The 20,328-nt window shown below is 41.2% G+C and overlaps 1 annotated feature.

Annotated features, from left to right (window-relative positions):
- Positions 1,680-2,532: an enhancer, noted in NCBI's record as "OCT4-NANOG-H3K27ac hESC enhancer chr2:158202021-158202873 (GRCh37/hg19 assembly coordinates)". NCBI's record gives its function as "activates a minimal SCP1, AML or CMV promoter by ChIP-STARR-seq in primed H9 embryonic stem cells {active_cell/tissue: H9 hESC(primed)}" and the evidence as "EXISTENCE:reporter gene assay evidence [ECO:0000049][PMID:30033119]".

Raw genomic sequence — 20,328 nt, 5'->3', positions numbered from 1 at the left:
CAATGGAGTAACATCATTTTGTTCTTTAGCAGGAAATAGTGACTGTTGGATGAGTGTATCAGATATTCCACAGGCATTTTGGGAACACTTTCATGATATTTCTGGGGAAATCATGAAGAATGGGTTTAATGCAATAATAAATACCCAATTGGAAGATGGTTCTTATGTATCTAAACAAGGGCTGCTTAACAAAATGATAGCATTCACAGAGGAGGTTCTTAATGTTGCTTCCCAGAATTTTTCCATGTTTAAAATTTGTTGCAGGCTAGATCTGCTGGTTTTGAAGCTTAGTTTTTGTTTGTCTGAGAAAATCTTTATTTCCCCTTCTTTTTTTTTTTGTTTTTTTGAGATGGAGTTTCACTCTTGTTGCCCAGGCTGGAGCCTGCCTTGGCCTCTTGAGTAGCTAGGATTACAGCTACTGCCACCATGCCTGGCTAGTTTTTGTATTTTTAGTAGAGATGGGGTTTCACCATGTTGGTCAGGCTCGTCTCGAACTCCCAACCTTAGGAGATCCACCTGCCTCGGCCTCCCAAAGTGCTGGGATGACAGGCATGAGCCACCACACCCGGCCTTTTTTTTTTTTTTTTTTTTTTTTTAAGATGGAGTCTTGCTCTTTCACCCAGGCTGGAGTTCAATGGCATGATCTTGGCTCACTGCAAGCTTCACCACCTGTGTTCAAGCAATTCTCCTGCCTCAGCCTCCCGAGTAGCTGGGACTACAGGCGTGTGCCACCATGCCTGGCTAATTTTTGTATTTTTAGTAGAAATGAGGTTTTGTCATGTTAGCCAGGCTGATCTGAACTCCTGACCTCAGGTTATCCGCCTGCCTTGGCCTCCTAAAGTGCCAAGATTACAGGTGTGAGCCACCATACCCGGCTCTCCTTCACTTTGGAAGGACAATTTGACTGGATATAGAATTCAAGCTTGTTGGGTTTTTTTGCTTTCAAGACTTTAAATATTTTATGCTACTGTCCTTTTGTTTATATAGTTTCTGATGAGAAGTCTATTATAATTGTTATTTTCATTCATCTAAGGCAAAGTTTTCTCCCCCTCTAGCTTCTTTCATAATATTTTCTTCGTGTCTGGTTTTCTGCAGTTAGTTTTGTTTTTGGTATTTATTTGGCTTGATATTCTCTGATATTCCTGAATTTGTGATGTGGTGACTGTCATTAATTTTGGAAAGTTTTTAACCATTACTACTTCAGCTATTTCTTTTTCTCTGTTCTCTTTAATTTTTTCCTTCTGATATTCCAATTACATGTATGTTATAGCTTTTAAAATTGTTTACAGTTCTTAGCGGATATGTGATTTTTAAAAAATTCTTTTTTTCTCTTTGCATTTCAGTTTGCTATTGATGATCTTCAATCTCACTGATAGTTTTTTTCTCAGCTGTCTTTGTTTTTTATTTTGATCATCTGTTTTGATTCTTAGAGTTTCCATCTCGCTGCTTACTTTACTCATCTCTTCTTTCATGTTGTCTACTTTTTCTATTAAAGCCCTTAACGTATTAATTATAGTTATGATATTGTAAATTCCATGTCTGATCATATCATCATCTGTGTCATAGCTGAGCCTGATTCTCGTGATTGCTTTGTTTCCTTAGACTGTGTGTGTTTGTTTTTTCTTGGCCTGCTTTGTAATTTTTTGTTCAAACCAGAGAGGAAAATAGACAAATAGGCAAGTAGGCCTTTATTGTGAGGATTTATGTTAATCTGGCTAAGTGCTGGGCTATGTTTACTGTTTGCTATTGGTGTGGATGTCAGAAGCTTCAGATTCTTCCTTAATTTTGTCTCTCACCTTGACTTTAGGCTTCCCTAAGTACTTCTCAGAATCTCTGTTTTGCAGATTTTTCAACTGTAATCCACTGTCATACGGGAGCCCTATTGCTGAGGTGAGAAGGTTCTGGGAGGTAGAAGCATTCCATAATCTTGTTAAAACTCCATCTTTTGTGGGGGTTGGGGGCATGTTTCTGAACTGTCAGCTTCACAAGTGTTTCTCCAGTGGCATAGCTTTTAAATTTTTCCCTTAGTGGGGACTAGAAAGCTAGAGAAGACAGGGGAGAGAGAGGAATGCCTTTCCTCCCTTCCTTCTGGAATAAGGCTCTGGGAAAGTCTTTCACCCTGCAAAGTAGGCCTTTGTTATGGAGAACTCTCCAAGGGGATTTCATCCTCTTTTCCTGCCAAATCCAGGGAAGGATCTTTCTCACATCCTTACTATGAGAATTTGGCCATGTTCTTGGAGGTAAAGCTCACAAATGTGTGAGGGTACCCTTAGAACGGTGGCCCCCCTGAGCTTTTTTTCTCACATGAGTCCACACACAGCCTCCAGCAATTTGCCAACATTACCATGTAAATGCTCCTAACAATTTATGGCTCCAGCACCTTCTTTTCCAGGTAAGTAGATCCCAGCAGCTTCTTTTCCACGTAAGCAGATCCCACCTGTGTCTCTAGATACACCTGTCTCTCCAAATTTGGGGTAGTGTTTTGCCCTGAAACTTCAGTTATTTGATGGGTCCAAGAAAAGTCATTGTTTTTGTTTATCTAGCTTGTTGTTGTTATTGTAGGAATGGAAGTGGTGACTTCTCATCTGATTACTGTTATGTGCGTCCATGTGAAGAGACCACCACACAGGCTTTGTGTGAGCAATAAAGCTTTTTAATCACCTGGGTGCAGGCAGTCTGAATCCAAAAAAGGAGTCAGCAAAGGGAGATAGGAGTGGGGCAGTTTTATGGGATGTGGGTAGGTAGTGGAAAATTAGACTTAAAGGGGGTTGTTCTCTTGTGGGCAGGGGCAGGGGTCACAAGGTGCTCAGTGGGGAGCTCCTGAGATTCACTGTCCAGGAGAAGGAATGTGACAAGGTCAATTGATCAGTTAGGGTGGGGCAGGAACAAATCACAATGGTGGAATGTCATCAGTTAAGGCAGGAACTGGCTATTTTCACTTCTTTTGTGGTTCTTCAGTTGCTTCAGGCCATCTGGATATATATGTGCAGGTCACAGGGGATATGATGGCTTAGCTAGGGCTCAGAGGCCTGAAATTCCTGTCTTCTTATGTTAATAAGAAAAACAAAACAAAGTAGTGGTGAAGTGTTGGGGTGGTGAAAATTTTGGGGGATGGTATGGAGAGATAATGGGTGATGTTTCTCAGGGCTGCTTCAGGTGGGATTAGGGGCAGCATGGGAACCTAGAGTGGGAGAGATTAAACTGGAGAAAGATTTTGGGGTAAAGGTTGGTGTTGTGGGGTTGTTAGAAGGAGCATTTGTCATATAGAATGATTGGTGATGGCCTGAATGCAGTTTTGTATGAACTGAGAAACTAAACGGAAGACACAAGGTCCAAATAAGAGAAGGAGAAAAAGAGGTATTAAAGGACTAAGAATTGGGAGGACCCAAGACATCCAATTAGAGAGTGCCCAAGGGAGTTTAGCATAATTATTTTGTTGGTTAGCGAGTTTTGGGGCTCTATCCTTGAGTTTTTTTATGTTGTCATATACCAGGCCAGATTGTTTTAGGTAAAAACAACACTCCTCATTTAAAAACATACAGAGACCTCCTTTTTCAGCAGTGAGTAAATTGAGGCCTCAGAAGTTCTGGAGGACAACTGCAGCTAAAGAGTCAACCTGGGCTTGGAGGACAGATAAAGTTTGTGATATATCTGTAATGCTAGCAGAGAAGTCATTATAGAGGCTGCAGAATGTTGTGACAGAAGTTGATATGCCTGCTATTCCAGTTCCAAGTGCAATAGTGGAGGCAGAAAAGTTCTAGACCCACAAGTAAAGGGATAACTGGGATGACTCTTTTTGTTGTGTTGGTGTCATGAGGGGGACAGGCAGTTGTTCATTCCTATCTGCAAACTGGATTTTGGGGGTAAGGAAGACTAGAGTACATGTGCCCATCCAGTTGGCAGGTAGGTGCATGTAGGTGGAAGAACCACATAAAAGAAGAGACCTTGTGTCAGGCAGAACTGGAAATGTAAAGTGAAAAGGTGAGAGGGTGTACTGAAAGAGGAGTCCTGCACCCAAAATCCTAGAGCTCCAGCAAGGGCAGCAGCCATTAGAGGTTGTAATGGGGATGGATAGTGCAACTCATAGAGGGAGAGGTTTGGTTTCCATGGTGTATAAGAAAGCACATAGTGTCTATGAGTAACCTTTCACTGCTATTCATGGGGCTGCATATAAGCAAGCAAGAGGAGGGGATAGGAGGAGATTCAGATGAGCAGGGGGAGGATAGCCAAGGATGGAGGGAGATGGAGGATAAGTGTCTTTCCAAACAATAGTGACTGCCAATGTTTTTTGGTTTGTCAGTAATGATAGAGGGCTCATCAGTAATGCAAAGTTGGAATACTCCCATCTGTTTGGTAATGTGTGTGGCTGGGTTCTGGAGATAGAGTAAAGGAACATTTGGATGGTGGAAGGTTGCCTAAAGGGATTCCAGTAGGCTATTGTTGGGAGATGCATAAAGGAGCAGCAACAGGGATAGTTGTTTGTGTGGTGAGGGGTCCAAATATTTGGGGGGCAGGGGGTAGAATTGACATAAGGAGAAAGTTGCCTTTCCTTCCTTCTGGAATAAGCCTCTGTGACCTGCACATATACATCCAGGTGGCCTGAAGCAACTGAAGAACTATAAAAGAAGTGAAAATAGTCAGTTCCTGCCTTAACTGATGACATTCCACCATTGTGATTTGTTACTGCCCCACCTGAACTGATCAATTGGCCTTGTCACATTCCTTCTCCTGGACAGTGAATCTCAGGAGCTCCCCACTGAGCACCTTGTGACCCCCGCCCCTGTCCACAAGAGAACAACCCCTTTTAAGTCTAATTTTCCACTACCTACCCAAATCCTATAAAACTGTCCCACCCCTATCTCCCTTTGCTGACTCCTTTTTTTTGGATTCAGCTTGCCTGCACCCAGGTGATTAAAAAGTTTATTGCTCACACAAAGCCTGTTTGGTGGTCTCTTCACATGGACATGCATAACATTTGGTGCCAAAGACCTGGGACAGGGGACTCCTTCAGGAGACTCATCCCGGGTCCTCACCCTCACTCCGTGAGGAGATCACCTATGACCTTGGGTCCTCAGACCAGCCAAAGGAACATCTCACCAATTTTAAATCAGGTAAGTGGCCTCTTTTTGTTCTCTTCTCCAGCCTGTCTTGTTAGCCCTCCACCCTTCAATCTCTCCCTTCCTTAATTTTGGTTCCTTTCCTTTTCTGGTAGAGACAGAGGAGACACGTTTTATCCATGAACTCAAAACTCCGGCAACAGTCATGGACTTGGGAAGACAGTCTTCCCTTGGTGTTTAATCACTGTGGGGATGCCTGCCTTGATCCTTCACCTTGGTGGCAAGTACCACCTTCCCTGGGTGGCAAGACCACCTCCCCCCACACTGTGTCTCTATCCTCTCTTTTCTCTAAACTCACCTTTTAACTATGGGCAAACTTCCACCCTCCATTCCTCCTTCTTCTCCCTTACCCTGTGTTCTCAAGAACTTACACCTCTTCAACTCACACCTGACCTAAAACCTAAATGCCTTATTTTCTTCTGCAATACTGCTTGGCCCCAATACAAACTTGACAATGGTTCTAAATGACCAGAAAATGGCACTTTTGATTTCTCCATCCTACAAGATCTAGATAATTTTTGTCGAAAAATGGGCAAATGGTCTGAGGTGCTTGACATCCGGGCATTCTTTTACACATTGGTCCCTCCCTAGTCTCTGCTCCCAATGCAACTTGTCCCAAATCTTTCTTCCTTCTCTCCTGTCTGTTCCTTCAGTTTCCACCCCAAGCTCTGAGTCCTTTGAATCCTCCTTTTCTACAAACCCATCTGACCTCTCCCAGCCTCCCCAGGCTGCTCTTCACCAGGCCGAGCAAGGTCCCAATTCTTCCTCAGCCTCTGCTCCCTCACCCTATAATCCTTCTATCACTTCCCCTCCTCACACCTGTTCCAGCTTACAGTTTCGTTCTGTGACTAGCTCTCCCCAACCTGCCCAACAATTTCCTCTTAGAGAGGTGGCTGGAGCTAAAGGCATAGTCAAGGTTAATGCTCCTTTTTCTTTATCCAGCCTCTCCCAAATCAGTTAGCATTTAGTCTCTTTTTCATCAAATATAAAAACCTAGTCCAGTTAATGGCCTGTTTGGCAAGAACCCTTAGATGCTTTACCGCTCTAGACCCAGAGGGGCCAGAAGGCCGTCTTATTCTCAATATGCATTTTATTACCCAATCTGCTCCCAACGTTAGAAAAAACTCCAAAAATTATATTCCGGGCCTCAAGCCCCACAATAGGACTTAATTAACCTCTCCTTCAAGGTGTACAATAATAGAGAAGAGGCAGCCAAGCAGCAATGTATTTCTGAGTTACAATTACTTGCCTCTGCTGTGTGAGAGAGAAACCCCAGCCACATCTCCAGCACAAAAGAACTTCAAAACATCTAAACCACAGTGGCCAGGCATTCCTCCAGGACCTCCTCCCCCAGGATCTTGCTTCAAATGCTGGAAATCTGGCCACTGGGCTAAAGAATGCCCAGCCTGGGATTCCTCCTAAGCCATGTCCCATCTGTGTGGGAACCCACTGGAACCAGCTCACCCGGCAGCCACTCCCAGAGCCCCTGGAACTCTGGCCCAAGGCTCTCTGACTGACTCCTTCCCAGATCTTCTCGGCTTAGCGGCTGAAGACTGACGCTGCCTGATCACCTCAGAAGCCTCCTGGACCATCACAGATGCTTTGGGTAACTCTTACAGTGGAGGGTAAGTCCACCTCCTTCTTAATCAATATGGAGGCTACCCACTCCACATTACCTTCTTTTCAAGGGCCTGTTTCCCTTGCCTCCATAACTGTTGTAGGTATTGATGACCAGGCTTCTAAGCCTCTTAAAACTCCCCAACTCTGGTGCCAACTTGGACAACATTCTTTTATGCACTCCTTTTCAGTTATCCCCACCTGCCCAGCTCCCTTATTAGGTCGAGACATTTTAACTAAATTTTCTGCTTCCCTGACTATTCCCGGGTTTTGGCACCAAATGTCATGTCTGTCTGTGTGAAGAGAGTCTACCAACAGACTTTGTGTGAGCAACAAGGCTGTTTATTCACTTGGGTGCAAGTGGGCTGACTCCTTTCTCGGACTCAGCCCATTTGCACCCAAGTGAATAAACAGCCTCGTTGCTCACACAAAGCCTGTTGATGGACTCTCTTCACACAGACGTGCATGACATTTACATATTAGACCTGAAACTGGTAGTCCTCAATTCTTCTGTGTTTAACATTTATGATTGTCTAGGTGAAGATGTAAAGAATTTGGTCAGCCAGTTGAAGATGAATTAAACCAATAAGAACAGTGACAATATAAGGTGGCAAATTTGTGATACTATTAAACTGGATAATGACATGAATTTAACCAAATGTATCATATGAAGGATAACTTTAAGTTCCTGCTTTGGTTTCAAAACATATCTTTCATGGATAGGAAAGAGGAGCGGATCCTAACAATGACATCCATGGAAATGATGTGGAGCTCTGAGTCATCATTTTGGTTATCATGAGTCAAGAGTGGGGATCAGCTTCCAATATAATTAAAGTATCAGTTTGCCAAAGTGCTCATATCAGAGGCGTGTGAACCAGAGCAACTGCATCTTAAATAGGAGCTGGGTAAAATGAAGCTGAAACCTACTGAGCTGCATTCTCAGACGGTTAGATGGTTAAGGCTTTCTAAGTCACAGGCTTTCTAAGTCATAGGAGGTCAGCACAAAATACAGGTTATAAAGACCTTGCTGATAAAACAGGTTGCAGGAAAGGAGCTGGCCAAAACCCACCAAAACTAAACTGTCTATGAGAATGACCTCTGGTCGCCCTCACTACTACACTCCCACCAGAGCCATGACAGTTTACAAATGCCATGGCAACATCAGGAAGTTACCCTATATGGTCTAAAAAGGGGAGGCATGAATAATCCACCCCTTGTTGAGCATATCATCAAGAAATAACCATAAAAATAGGCAACCTGCAGCCCTCAGGGCTGCTCTGTCTATGGAGCAGACATTCTTTTATTCCTTTACTTTCTTAATAAACATGCTTTCACTTTGCCTTGAGGACTTGCCCTGAATTCTTTCTTGAGAGAAATCCAATAACCCTCTCTTAGGGTCTGGATTGGGACCCCTGTCCTGTAACACTTATAGGTATTAAACAAGAAAAAGACCCAATCTCAAATACACTGGGTTAAACCTTTCTTTAATGAAGGACTTTTTAGAAACTTTCATTGCTCAATTTCATCCATGCTTTTTCAAGTGGATAAAGAACCTGTATTATTTTTCAAATTTATTTGACCATAGATCTGTTTTGGAATTCTTGTTCTGGAATTTAACAATTATGAAAACACTAGGCAAGATACATAACCTCTGAGAATCTTAGTTTGCTTATTTATAGAATGGAAATAATGATTCTTATTTCACAGTCTTGCTGTGAAAATTAAATAAGGATAAGGTTAAAAACACGCCACAGTGCTGGGCAAATAAACAGTGCTGAGTAGATGTTGTTGTTTTTTTTTAAGTTTTTTTTTCTATTGGTTTCTGGACAAAACCTTTAAAAGGATATTTAGGAATGAGTCCTACTTATTTAGCAACTGGTATGACTTGGGCATTTACCAATGAAAAAGGACATTGGTCCAGGAACAACCCTTGGTTATTGATCCTAATGATGTCAGGAGGGTCCCAAGTGATGGACACTTGGTGAGAGAATTAGAACTATAGCTTTTTATCAACTTTAGTAAAACCATTTCCATATTTTAATTCATATTATATCTATCCCAGTATGTATCTGTCCACTATCAGCCTTGTATATAGGCAAATAAGAGTATGTTCAGAGAAGAATGTTTAATGGGGTGAAGATACGCACTGTAAAGGTATATGAGGATCTGCTAAAGGAAACAGAGATGTTTATTCCAGAAAGGAGAAGACTTGGGGGAAGGGGGTGGGCATGAAAGCTGTCTTCAAATATCTGTCTTCAAATATTTGATTGTCAGGTGGAAGACAGGCTAGACTCATTCTGTGTGTCTCCAAAGGGTTCAATCAAGAACAATCAACGTGTGAAAGATTTAGGGCATGAAAGTTCAGCTCTACACAAGTAAAAGTTTTCAGAACTCAGAGTAGTTCAAAGAATAGCTGCCCCCATCAAGTGCTGAATTCCCCATTATTTTAAGATGTTCAAAAAGGCAATAGTCAAATGCCTGGAATGGATGTTGTAGAGAAGATACAATTACAGTTAGTCAGTTTTATAGACTCAACTGAAAGATCCCTTAATCCCTGAGCATCTTTGGTTCTATGACCAAAAGATGGAGGTTCTTAGTAGTAATTCTCTCACTTCTGTAAACTATATGCATTATGTTGAGTTTATTTCCATCTTTAGCCATAAAAAAGAGAGTTTTAAAATGCCGAGATTTGCCTTAATTCTACACATAAACATATTTTATTTACATATTAATACCAGTTACTTTAGTAAAGAAGGAACCAAAGGAGCATAAGAAAGATTCAGAGACATACAGAGAAAGAAGGATGAGAGAAACCTAGAAAAAGGAGGGAAGCAGGCAGAGAGAAGTTCTCTTATATTTTCCTGGCTCCCTTGACTAATCTTCATGCCTTCACTGCTGCCTCATGAAATTTTCCACCTCTAAGAAATCTGGGTTTTTCATCTATAAAAGGAAGCAGTTGGGTGTGATACTTTATTCATTCAACAAACATTTATGAAGTACAAACTTGATAAGCAGGCACTGTGCTAGCTCTCTGTGTGTGATGCAAAGGCACAGGTCTTTGCTCACCCTCAGCTTCTCTAAGCCCATGTCATGTCAATGACAACACGTCTGTGATCCTGGGCTGCCAGGTGTTGCCTTTGAACAGCTCACAGTTGCATTCAGCCTGAAACGGTTTGCTTCAATCATCTCAAATGAATGGCTGGTTGTGAAAGGGCTGTGAAACCTGGAACATGCCATCTGCATGCATATTATTATTATCCGAAAGTCTGTGCAGAAGGAGCATGGGGGCTTAGACATGGGAAAGAAAACAAATCACTTTTGAATTGCCACAAATTTTTTCTTAGGAATGACTGTGAGTTCTGATTCCTGCCATTCTCTTACTCCTTTTCCTCTCTTCCCTCAGGATTTTGGATGGAAAAAGTGGCAAGTCACTCCTTAAAATTGGTTACAAAAGTCTGCCATAGGCATGAATTTTATTCTTAGCTATAAAAATCTCATGAGAACATAGCCTGGGAGATGCTACCCATTAAGTGATATTTCTTATTGTAGATGGTAAAAATGAGCTGTAACCTTTAGGCTTTCTGGTGCATGTTATTAATTTCTCTCAAAAATGGCCTTTTATAGAGGTTGTGATATTATTAAAAAAGAAGCAGAGACCATCCTAATCAAGATAAACTAAAACAACAACAACACACACACACAAACACACACACACACACAATGGTAGAATGCATCAGAAAGATAGTCAGTGACTGCCATATTAGTTACCTTTTCTCCCAGGGCTACCATTAAATAGAAAAGCACTACAGAAAAGTTGGCCCCTTATATGGAAGAGTTCTGTGTGATTTGGTGAGACAGTGAATTTTGCTATACTTTTAATGAAGTACAGATTTGTGTTTAGGAGCATAGGCTCTGAAGCTGGACTTCTTTGATTCAAATTCTGGCTTTGTCCCTTTCTATATAGATGACTTAGGCAAGGAGCTTAAACTTTCTGTGCCTCAATTTTCTCATTTATAAAATGATGAGAATAAGAGTACCTGCCTCAAAAAGTTGTTGTAAAGATTAAAGCGCTGTTGTATGAAAAGCTCTTTGACCAATGCTTGACATATAATAAGTGCTAGATGTGTGTGTTATTATTAATTATTCTTAGAAGTTTATTGTCACAAGGCTTTAAGTTCTTAAGTAATATGAATGAAAAAATTTTGTCTTCCAAGAGAGTTGCTGTCTTTCATTTATCTTTGGATTGAAAATTATAAAGTGTAGCATTGCTTATTAGGATTTGTACTAGAATCACCTGCGCACTTGTTTATAATGCACATTCTGGTCTGCAACAAAATCAGAATATCTGGGAGGGTAGTCTAGAAATGTGTATTTTAAATCAGATGCCCAGAGGATTCTGAGGCAAATTGGAATTTGAAGACAATGGAGTAAAGCAAGCATGGCTGTGTTAGCTTAATCACAGCAACAATTCAGTTTCTGGAGGGTAAATTATGCACCAGCCACTGGGCTCTTGGGATATGATCTTATTAAATCCTCACAAGAGGCCTCTGAGGGCAGGTTCTATTATGAGCTCAGTATTTCAGATCAGAAATTGTGGCTTTCACAATATCTGGGTTAAATGATTTGCTCAAGATCTGCTGGTGAAGGGCACATCAGGAATGGAATTGGGTCTACCTGTTCAGAACTGGTATTCCTAAACATTCTGAACATTTTACATCCTGTCTGAACCCAAGCTCCTCCTGTATTGAGGCTTTCTGTTTTGGGGAATGTGACGCATAATATTCACCTCCCAGTTAGTCAAGGATGACACAGATCCACCTCCACACGAATAATATAATAGCCAATGTATATTTTCCTGAGCAGGGGCTGTCCGTAAACAGCCAGGAGGGTGGGTGAAGAGCAAAGACTGGGAGAACCATCTTCTGTTGGGTCATAGTTTATTTCATTTTCTAACATCAACTCTGCCAGTAGGGGGCGTCTGCTAAATCGACACCACAATTCTATGCCGTAGGAAGCTCGATCCTTAGACTCTGAATCCCTAATATTTTTTTTAAACAGATAGAAACAGATTTATACAGGAAGAATGGAAAATAGGGCAAGGGATATGTTCAGATAAATGTACTGTCACACTCTAATGCTGGAAACCTCTAATTATTGCCAACTCAAAGCATATTTATATAACATAAACCATGAACCAGGTGCTATGCTTGTCTATACTGAAATGCAAAAATGAATCACACAAAGTCTGCAAAGACCTGAAAATATATTAATAAGTGGCACTGTTACTATTATTCACCTCTCACTAGGTGTCAGGCACTGTACCAGATGAGCTACATATATTTTGTCATGCAATTTAATCCTTTTAAAAACTCCACAAAGTAGGCATTTTTCAGATGCCCTGAGGCTCTGAAAATTTAAAAAATTGCCTAAGTTCAGGTAGCTTTTCAGTGGCAGAACTGAGATTTAATCTGAGGTCTTTCTATTGCAATATAATATTTTCTGGTAACAAAGTAAGACAATTGCATAAATTATAATGCAAGGCCAAATAATGAGGTATCATTAAAACAACATAAACATAAATTACTAAGGTGGCTCAAAGAAAAGTACAAGTAGAGCCTTTGGGTAAAAGTGTCATGAAGTATATAGTAGAGGATGTAATGTATGAGCTGGGCCTTGAAATGTGGCCCTGGCTTTGGTAGAGACAGTGAGAAGGATCCTAGGTGATGGTGAGGAGGCAGGCATTCCAGACATGAGGAAATAATAAGCCAAGACATGGAAATGGAAACCATGTTTGGAGATACAAAAGAGTTCACTGTGGCAAGGGTAGAATAAAGGGACTGGACAATTTGGATGATAAACCTAAATGGTAGTTAGATCCTGTTATAAGGAGTTTGTACTTAATATGACAAGCAATGGTAGAAAGGAAAAAGCTGAGTTTTTAAGTGTGTCTGTGTGTCGGGGAGCGGGGAGGAATTTGGGCAAGTAGTGAATCTTTAAAAAAATTTTTTTTTATCAAACACTATGAACCAGATAATGTGCTATCAGATTTATAATAATATCTTAATTATTCTTTTCTGACCTTGTTTAGAAGCTTGCTGTCAGAATATATTAATCTGGTGGTTGTGGGAATGATGGATGTAGGTGGGGAGAAGGGGATTAGAGATTAAAAGTGGGAGACCAGTTAGATGACTATTACAATGGTGCAGATGAGCAATTCTGAGAGCTTACATTTCAGTTATTGGGTAGATCCCACTAAGTGTGCTGCTCTTCCCACGCTTCTCTGAGTGGCATGACTCCTGAAGAGCATTTCTTTTCTGGCTTCAAGTTCTTGGTGGTGAGTAAGCTAATTATGGGGTATAGGTTTAAAAATCATTGTTCTCCTCATCTAAAATGTCACTAGAATCTGCACAGCTGTCCAATGTTCCTTTCTTGAATTCAACACAAAATCTTGACAAGAGATCCTGATATATCTGCACTTATTTTACTCACGGAGAGCGTATGAATTTTTCCTACTTACCCTGAGACAAAGTTTACTCAGCTAAATTTTCAAAGATATCCTAGGAGAAATTGTATTTGTTCATAGTCCTATTACTATCACTTTCTCACAAAAGCAGGCTCACAGCAGACTTGCTTTCTCTTTTTTTTTTCCTTAAGGAAAAATGTGTTTAATTATTTTCTTGCCTTTCTCCTCTGAAAAACAACATGTTGCCTTAACTGCTAGTGACATTCAAAATAGTTTGGGAGGAATGACGCTGACAGTGATATCACTTTCCTACAGTTCTGCTTCCCCAGGCGGACTGAAAATGCTTTCAAACTACCAAAGAGCGTGTATGCATATATAATTCAAAATTCTCTTTCTGTGGTTTTATAAATACCCACACAAATTCCATTTCTATCTATTTAACACTTACGGAGTCTCCATGAATAGAGAAACCATTCTTTCTATTTAAAATGCATCAAGAAATATCCCATTGTAAGTAAAACAGAATTATAATTGCCTAACTAAAAGCTATAGAGAGCCCAGTCCACTGGGGACACTCCTTTATCCATTTACGATGATATACTCTTAAAATTATGGCCAAGAGAGTGAGATGATTTTATTTTATGGGAATTTAGCCTTTCTTACGTGTACAATTGCTCTGCAACAGTTTAAAACACAATTCATTCTCTACTGCATGGATTCTTGTGAGATACAGATCTATAGGTCAAGGTCTACAGAGTCACCCCACTATTTTATACTCTCATAGGATCAGTTTCTACCAAGTCCATGCATTGGGATGTTTGTAGTGGTCACGGGCTGGTGCTCACACATGAATCTCAATCAAAGATGAGAAGGTGAAGCTGTGTTACTTACCTGTGTGTGTATAATTAGGGGGAATAGATGCCACTCACCATTGTTTTCCATGAACCCCTACCACAAGCCATTCTAAAGGATGCCAATGACTGAAGCTTTCCCCAGGACTACAGGAAGGAACAGGACTGAAATCATATTAGATGTGAACTCCATATCAATGGGCCAGTGTTGGGAGCAGGCACATCTCTGCAGCTACACTGCTTCTTACTGAGTAAAAAGAGCTCTTCAGGAATCTAACCCTAGACCATCTCAGAATCTGAATTTTAGAATTTGGCTTGTAAAAAGATCCATGAATATGTAGATGAGGCATGTGTATCTTATTCCTTCAGGAGACTTTCCTTCTCAAATAGCAATAAAAATAATATCATGTATCCACAGGTCTGTACCATCTGCCAGTCCTGTGCTAGGTACCTTGTGCCTATTAACTTTCATTGTTTTGCTGCAAGGTGTGTGTCATCAGCCATTCAAAAAGAAGAAATGAGTCAGGTGGGTTAAGTGACTTTCCAAAGCTACATGACTAGGAGTAATAATAATAGTAATTAACAGTAGTAGTAACAGTAGCACAATAAAAACACTTATCGAAAGAACACCTACTATGCCACATTGTGCTAGATGCTGTCCCTGGACTAATTCATTTCATTTTTACAGCAGTCCTAAGAAGTATATCATATTATTATCCACCTTTAACAGATGAGGGATCTGAGTTTGTTAATGTGGTGGGCATCTGCTACCTTTTTGTTTGTTTATTTTGTTTGTTTGCCCTACAGTCTCTCATTTTCTATGCCCATTTTTCTGCTCAGTGGTGGACACTGTCCTAGACCTGGACAATTGGAATATTCTCTCCTTTGTAGTCACAGCATCTGGCTCAGGGATTAGCTCATATCCCAAACTAGCTCAGTGAGGGCCATTCCAGGGACTTGGGCTGAAATTAATGAGAAAGAAAGGTTCCTTTCTTTTGCACCACTAGTTATCTTGATAATGCAAGCTTAGGGTTGCCAGAGGAATATTTGCCATGACCTAGGGAGAATCTACTTGAGAAAACTCCAATATAAAAGAAAATAGAACAATGAAAGCGGTGAGAGAGAAAGACAGGCAGAGAAAGAGAGACAGAGAGAACTTCTCAGAAGCCAGATTAAGTCCCATTTCTGTTTAATCTGTTTTGGATTAAATCTCTTTCACTGTCAACCAATGAAACATTGCATACAAAAAATGGACACCAAGGATGGGATGCAGATTATGGATCCAAGGATGGGTTGGCTCATTAGAGGAGCAATGGGAAGCAGTATAAATTCACCCATCCCTATTTGTGAAAGCTGACCATAATTACTATAAACTGTCTTCTGGAATCTTGATTCAAACCACTTCCTACTGAAGGTTAAATTTTAGAGACTTGTTAGAAAAATATCAGGATGCTGGAGGGTTTGTGATTTTCTTATACCTTTTATAAACTGTTACAAGTAAGTTTCAGTCAAACCTGGACTGTCAGAAAGCTGAGAGAGAAAATACAACCTTGCAAAGAGAGGTTTTTTCAGTGAACATAAAGCAATCCAAGATACTTGAGATTCAAAAATACATATCCTGTAAAAAGTTGGAAAAGCTAAATTTTCTGGCCTTTGCCAGTCCACGAAAATGAAGGCAGAGGCCGGGCAAGGTGGCTCACGCCTGTAATCCCAGCACTTTAGGAGGCCGGGGCGGGCAGATCACAAGGACAGGAGTTTGAGACCAGCCTGACCAACATGGTGAAACCCTGTCTCTACTAAAAATACAAAAATTAGCTGGGCGTGGTGGTGTGCACCTGTAATTTCAGCTACTCAGCAGGCTGAGGCAGGAGAACTTCTTGAACCTGGGAGGCAAAGGTTGCAGTGAGCCGAGATCTCACCACAGCACTCTGTCTCAAAAAAAAAAAAAAAAAAAAAAGAAAAAGAAAAAGAAAATGAAGGCAGAGAAGCAGGAAACTAGTAATTACTTTCTTATTACTACTGTAACAAATTACCACAGATTTCATGACTTAAAAGCAGCACCACCCCATTCAGTTCTGGAGGTGAGAAGTCTAAAATCAAGGTGTTGGCAGGGCTGCACTCCACACAGAGGCTTCAGAGGAAAACATTTCCTTGCCTTTTTTGGTTTCTAGAGCAAAGCTTGTCCAACTCATTGCCTGCAGGCTGCATGCAGCCCAGGACAGCTTTGAATGTAACCCAACACAGATTCATAAGCTTTCTTAAAACACAAAATTTTTTCTCTCACTCATCAGCTAGCATTAGTGTATTATTTTTCTCTCACTCATCAGCTAGCATTAGTGTATTTTATGTGTGCCCCAAGACAATCCTCCTTCTTCCAGTGTGGCCCAGGGAAGCAAAAAGATTGGACACGCCTGTTCCAGAGGCTGCTCACATTTGTTAGCACATGACCACTTCTCGAATTACTACAACGTCTTGCTTCTGTGTCACATTTTCTACTACTCTCTTTGACTTTCCTGCCTCCCTCTTATTAGAACTCTTGTGATTATTACATTGGATCCCATCCTATAATCCAGGATAATCTCCCCGTCCTTAATTTAATTAATCCCATTTGCAAAGTCGCTTTTACCAGGTAAGGTAACAATTCACAGGTTCTGGGGATTAGGATGTGGACATCTTTGAGGGTGGTCATCATTTAGCCCACAACAGTCAGCTAGAGGCATTAGGGACCCTCAGATCCACCCAGGTACCTCCTAATATGCACTTTCCTTGTGATCAAAAGAGACTGGTTACCTGGTACATTGTTTAAATCTTTGTTTTTGTTTTGTTTTGAGATGGAGTCTCACTCTGTTGCCCAGGCTGGAGTGCAGTGACACAATCTCAGCTCACTGCAACCTCTACCACCCAGGTTCAAGCTATTCTCCCCTCTCAGCCTCCTGAGTAGTTGGAATTACAGGCACGTGCCACCACTCCCAGCTAAATTTTGTATTTTTAGTAGAGGTGGGGTTTTATCATGTTGGCCAGGCTGGTCTTGAACTCCTGACCTCAGGTGATCCACCCACCTTGGCCTCCCAAAGTGTTGGGATTACAGTTGTGAACCATGGAGCCTGACCTTGTTTAAATCTTTGGATCCAAACAAGTACAAAGCCAATTCTGAATTTACCAGTCAAATTAGCTATTGAATTCAGTTTATGATTCTTTGAATTAGGTTTCTGTAATCTCTAACCCAAACATGCCTGATTTGTACACTTGCCCAAGGTCACACAGGAGCAGGCTGAATCTCTCCTCTTTACCCTATGAGGGTCACTGATGAGAATGCTCATTTGTCCTCTATTTGAAGGGGACTCTTAACTGTCAGCACTCTCCCTCCCAGCCTCCACTTCAGCCCATGTTGGCCACAGGGTCCTATGTTCAGGGCCACACTCTTCTCTAATCCTCACCAAATACTCAGCCTGTTTCTTCCAGTGCTTTTCTTTAAAATGATATTCACTGGATCACTAGAAGGCCAGGCTCTAGATGCTAGAGCCACAGAGATATACCTTTCCTAAGGTGTAAGAAATATTTTATATTTAGAGGGAGAACAGATAATTATCCCCTCCCCTGCCTCCAACATTGAAAAGCATGCTTCTTGTAAGATGCAGTTAAATTTTGAAATTCTGTTACATTAAACCCTTAATACTCATGAGCTACCCATAGACTTCAGTATTGGTTTCCTGGGATAAACCATTATTTACTTCAGGAAACTGTATCATTAGAATGGCAGCCATTATTCCATTCTTGGCATAAAAGTAAAAGGAAAGCATGAACATGGCACACGATAATCAATTTAATCTGATTTATACCAGGTGGCAGGCAATTATTGTTTTGTGAAATAAAATATATGGCTGTTGATTGATTTTGTTGTGTTATGATAGTCTGTATTTCTGTAACAGTTCACTTTAGCTGGGACGGCCCTTCAATTTGGAATTTTAATCCCTGAAGTGAACCAATTGGGATGATCCTGTCTCTTCAGGCTTGTTTAGGGTTGCACATTCCCTGGGTCATTGCTCTATTCCTTATAGAAAATTCTATGGGTTATTGGTAGGATTGTGACTGTTGTATGTCAGTCTGACTAGGCTAAACTAAATTTCCCTGAATTTTCTTTCCTGAATGATTCCTGAAAAAGAAACGTGAGCCAAAGTAAACATTGTTCTGTGAGCTTGGTGGGGCGGAAGTGAAGCAGCTATTTTGTAGCTGGCACACACTGCTGCCCGTCTGCTGCCTCACCTGGTGCATGGGCAGCAGCTGGGCCTGCAACTGTTCCACCTCCCTGGATCTTCCTCCAGCTTCTATGATCCTGGGCCGGGCTTCTTTGGGAGGGCATTCCAACCGCTAAGGTCAGAGGCACTGAGAGCCGACGCGGGTTTCAGTTTGCCCCCGTGTGTCCAGCTTATACCTGGGAACCCAGTTTGTTCTTGCTCTCCCCCTTTAAGTTTCTATCCATCATCCCTTCCCAACTTCCTGCCCTGCAGACTTCAGGCTCCAGCATCAAATGCAACAGCAGACATATAGAGGCAGCTTCACTGGCACCCACCATTGTGTAAAGTCAAATCCCTTCTGATTGATCAATCAATTGATCGATTGATAGATGGATTGCTCCATCTCTTAGTGGTTCTGCCTTTCCCTTCCAACCCTAATTGAAACAATACCCCTGTCCCAACTATGTAAGTCAATGTTTGTTTAAGATTGGCTTCAAGCTGCCAGGATCAACATTTTTCTTTTAAATGTATTTCTTGTTTTTATTCAGTGCTCTGTGACCATCTCTTAGCCATAACATTAGCTTGTGGCTTGGCTTTTCACATATGATTAAGATTAAAGATCAAGATTTTATGACTTTTCCCCAAATCCTGATTCTGGACCTAAGATAGCCTTAACATTAAGCATTTGGTATTGGACAAATGGAAAGTGAATATTTACATAATTTTATTTTGATTCTTTATATTCTTATATGAAAATCTTTTCATTACCTTTTTTTTGGCTTTAGATTTAATAATGGTTACATTTGTACAATGTCCTTTAGCATTAAGAATAATAACTAGGGGCCAGGTGTAGTGCTTTATGCCTGTAATCCCAGCACTTTGGGAGGCCAAGGCGGGTGGATCACCTGAGGCCAGGAGTTCGAGACCAGCCTGACCAACATGGAGAAATCCTCCCCGCTACTAAAAATACAAAAATTAGCCAGGCATCAAGGCGCATGCCTGTAATCCCAGCTACTCAGGAGGCTGAGGCAGGAGAATCTCTTGAACCTGGGAGGCAGAGGTTGCAGTGAGCCGAGATTGTGCCACTGTACTCCAGCCTAGGTGACAAGAGCGAAATTCTTCTAAGGAAAAAGCCACAAGATCCAGTAAACTACATAAAATAAAACAGTCATGTTTCATACAGTGAACATTCTGCAATTGTATTTGAAGTAAGGATGATAGTGCAAATTCTAACATACTTTCTAAGTCATAGGTTGTTACAAATAATGGGAGACAACTTACCTCTTTATGAACAAAATAGCCTATGTTTTATCTAGTAGTTGGATAGACTCATCTTGTTGCTAAATGTGTCTCATGTTGCCGTCTACTTGTAGGAAAAAATAATACACGTTACAAACCATTTACCCGACCTCCATTATTCCCTAGGGCAGCATAAAAGCATGTTTTTAAATAAATGTAAACACATGGTTAGCCAAGGATGACAGAACTCTGGATCATTTCTCTATCTTTCCAAAACTGAAATAATTTTAAGGCCATAAAAAATGTCACAGCATGGTTTTAGAAAGAAGGCAATCCAAAAATAAAGACACGAATTCCCATAAAAGCTAGGCTATGGGTATGAGGTGCCCGTTGCCATGGGGTAATAGAAATCTAGGAGTAGGAGAGACAATGAATCTGAACTGTCTCAACTTTGCTATGTCCCTGGATTGAGGTACTTGGCAGCCCCGAGGGAACGGAGTGATTGGAGGCATGACCTTTGGAGCTAATGTATTTCTGTACTCCTGTGTTTATCGCAGGGCATTTGGTTGAATTAGTGCCACTTCCTGCCCTAAGGATCTCACAATCTAGTATGTCCCCATTTGTTCCTAAGCTTGGTCTTAGTTTCTGCATTCTCCCATATGATTCCACTCAATATCTTCTCAACAGTAAGCTTGTAGTTGAATTTCTTGGGAGGACGCTCCCAGAACATCATCCTCAGCAGCTGCAGGGTGTCTCTGGGGCAGGTCTTGAGACTGCCTTAGGCTCTCTGCTGCCCTCTCCTGGCC

This window comes from Homo sapiens, chromosome 2 (genome assembly GCF_000001405.40).
Source record: "Homo sapiens chromosome 2, GRCh38.p14 Primary Assembly".
Classification (NCBI taxonomy): domain Eukaryota; kingdom Metazoa; phylum Chordata; class Mammalia; order Primates; family Hominidae; genus Homo; species Homo sapiens.
Note: the sequence above shows the minus strand (reverse complement) of the source record. Positions and strands in the feature narration are given on the sequence as shown.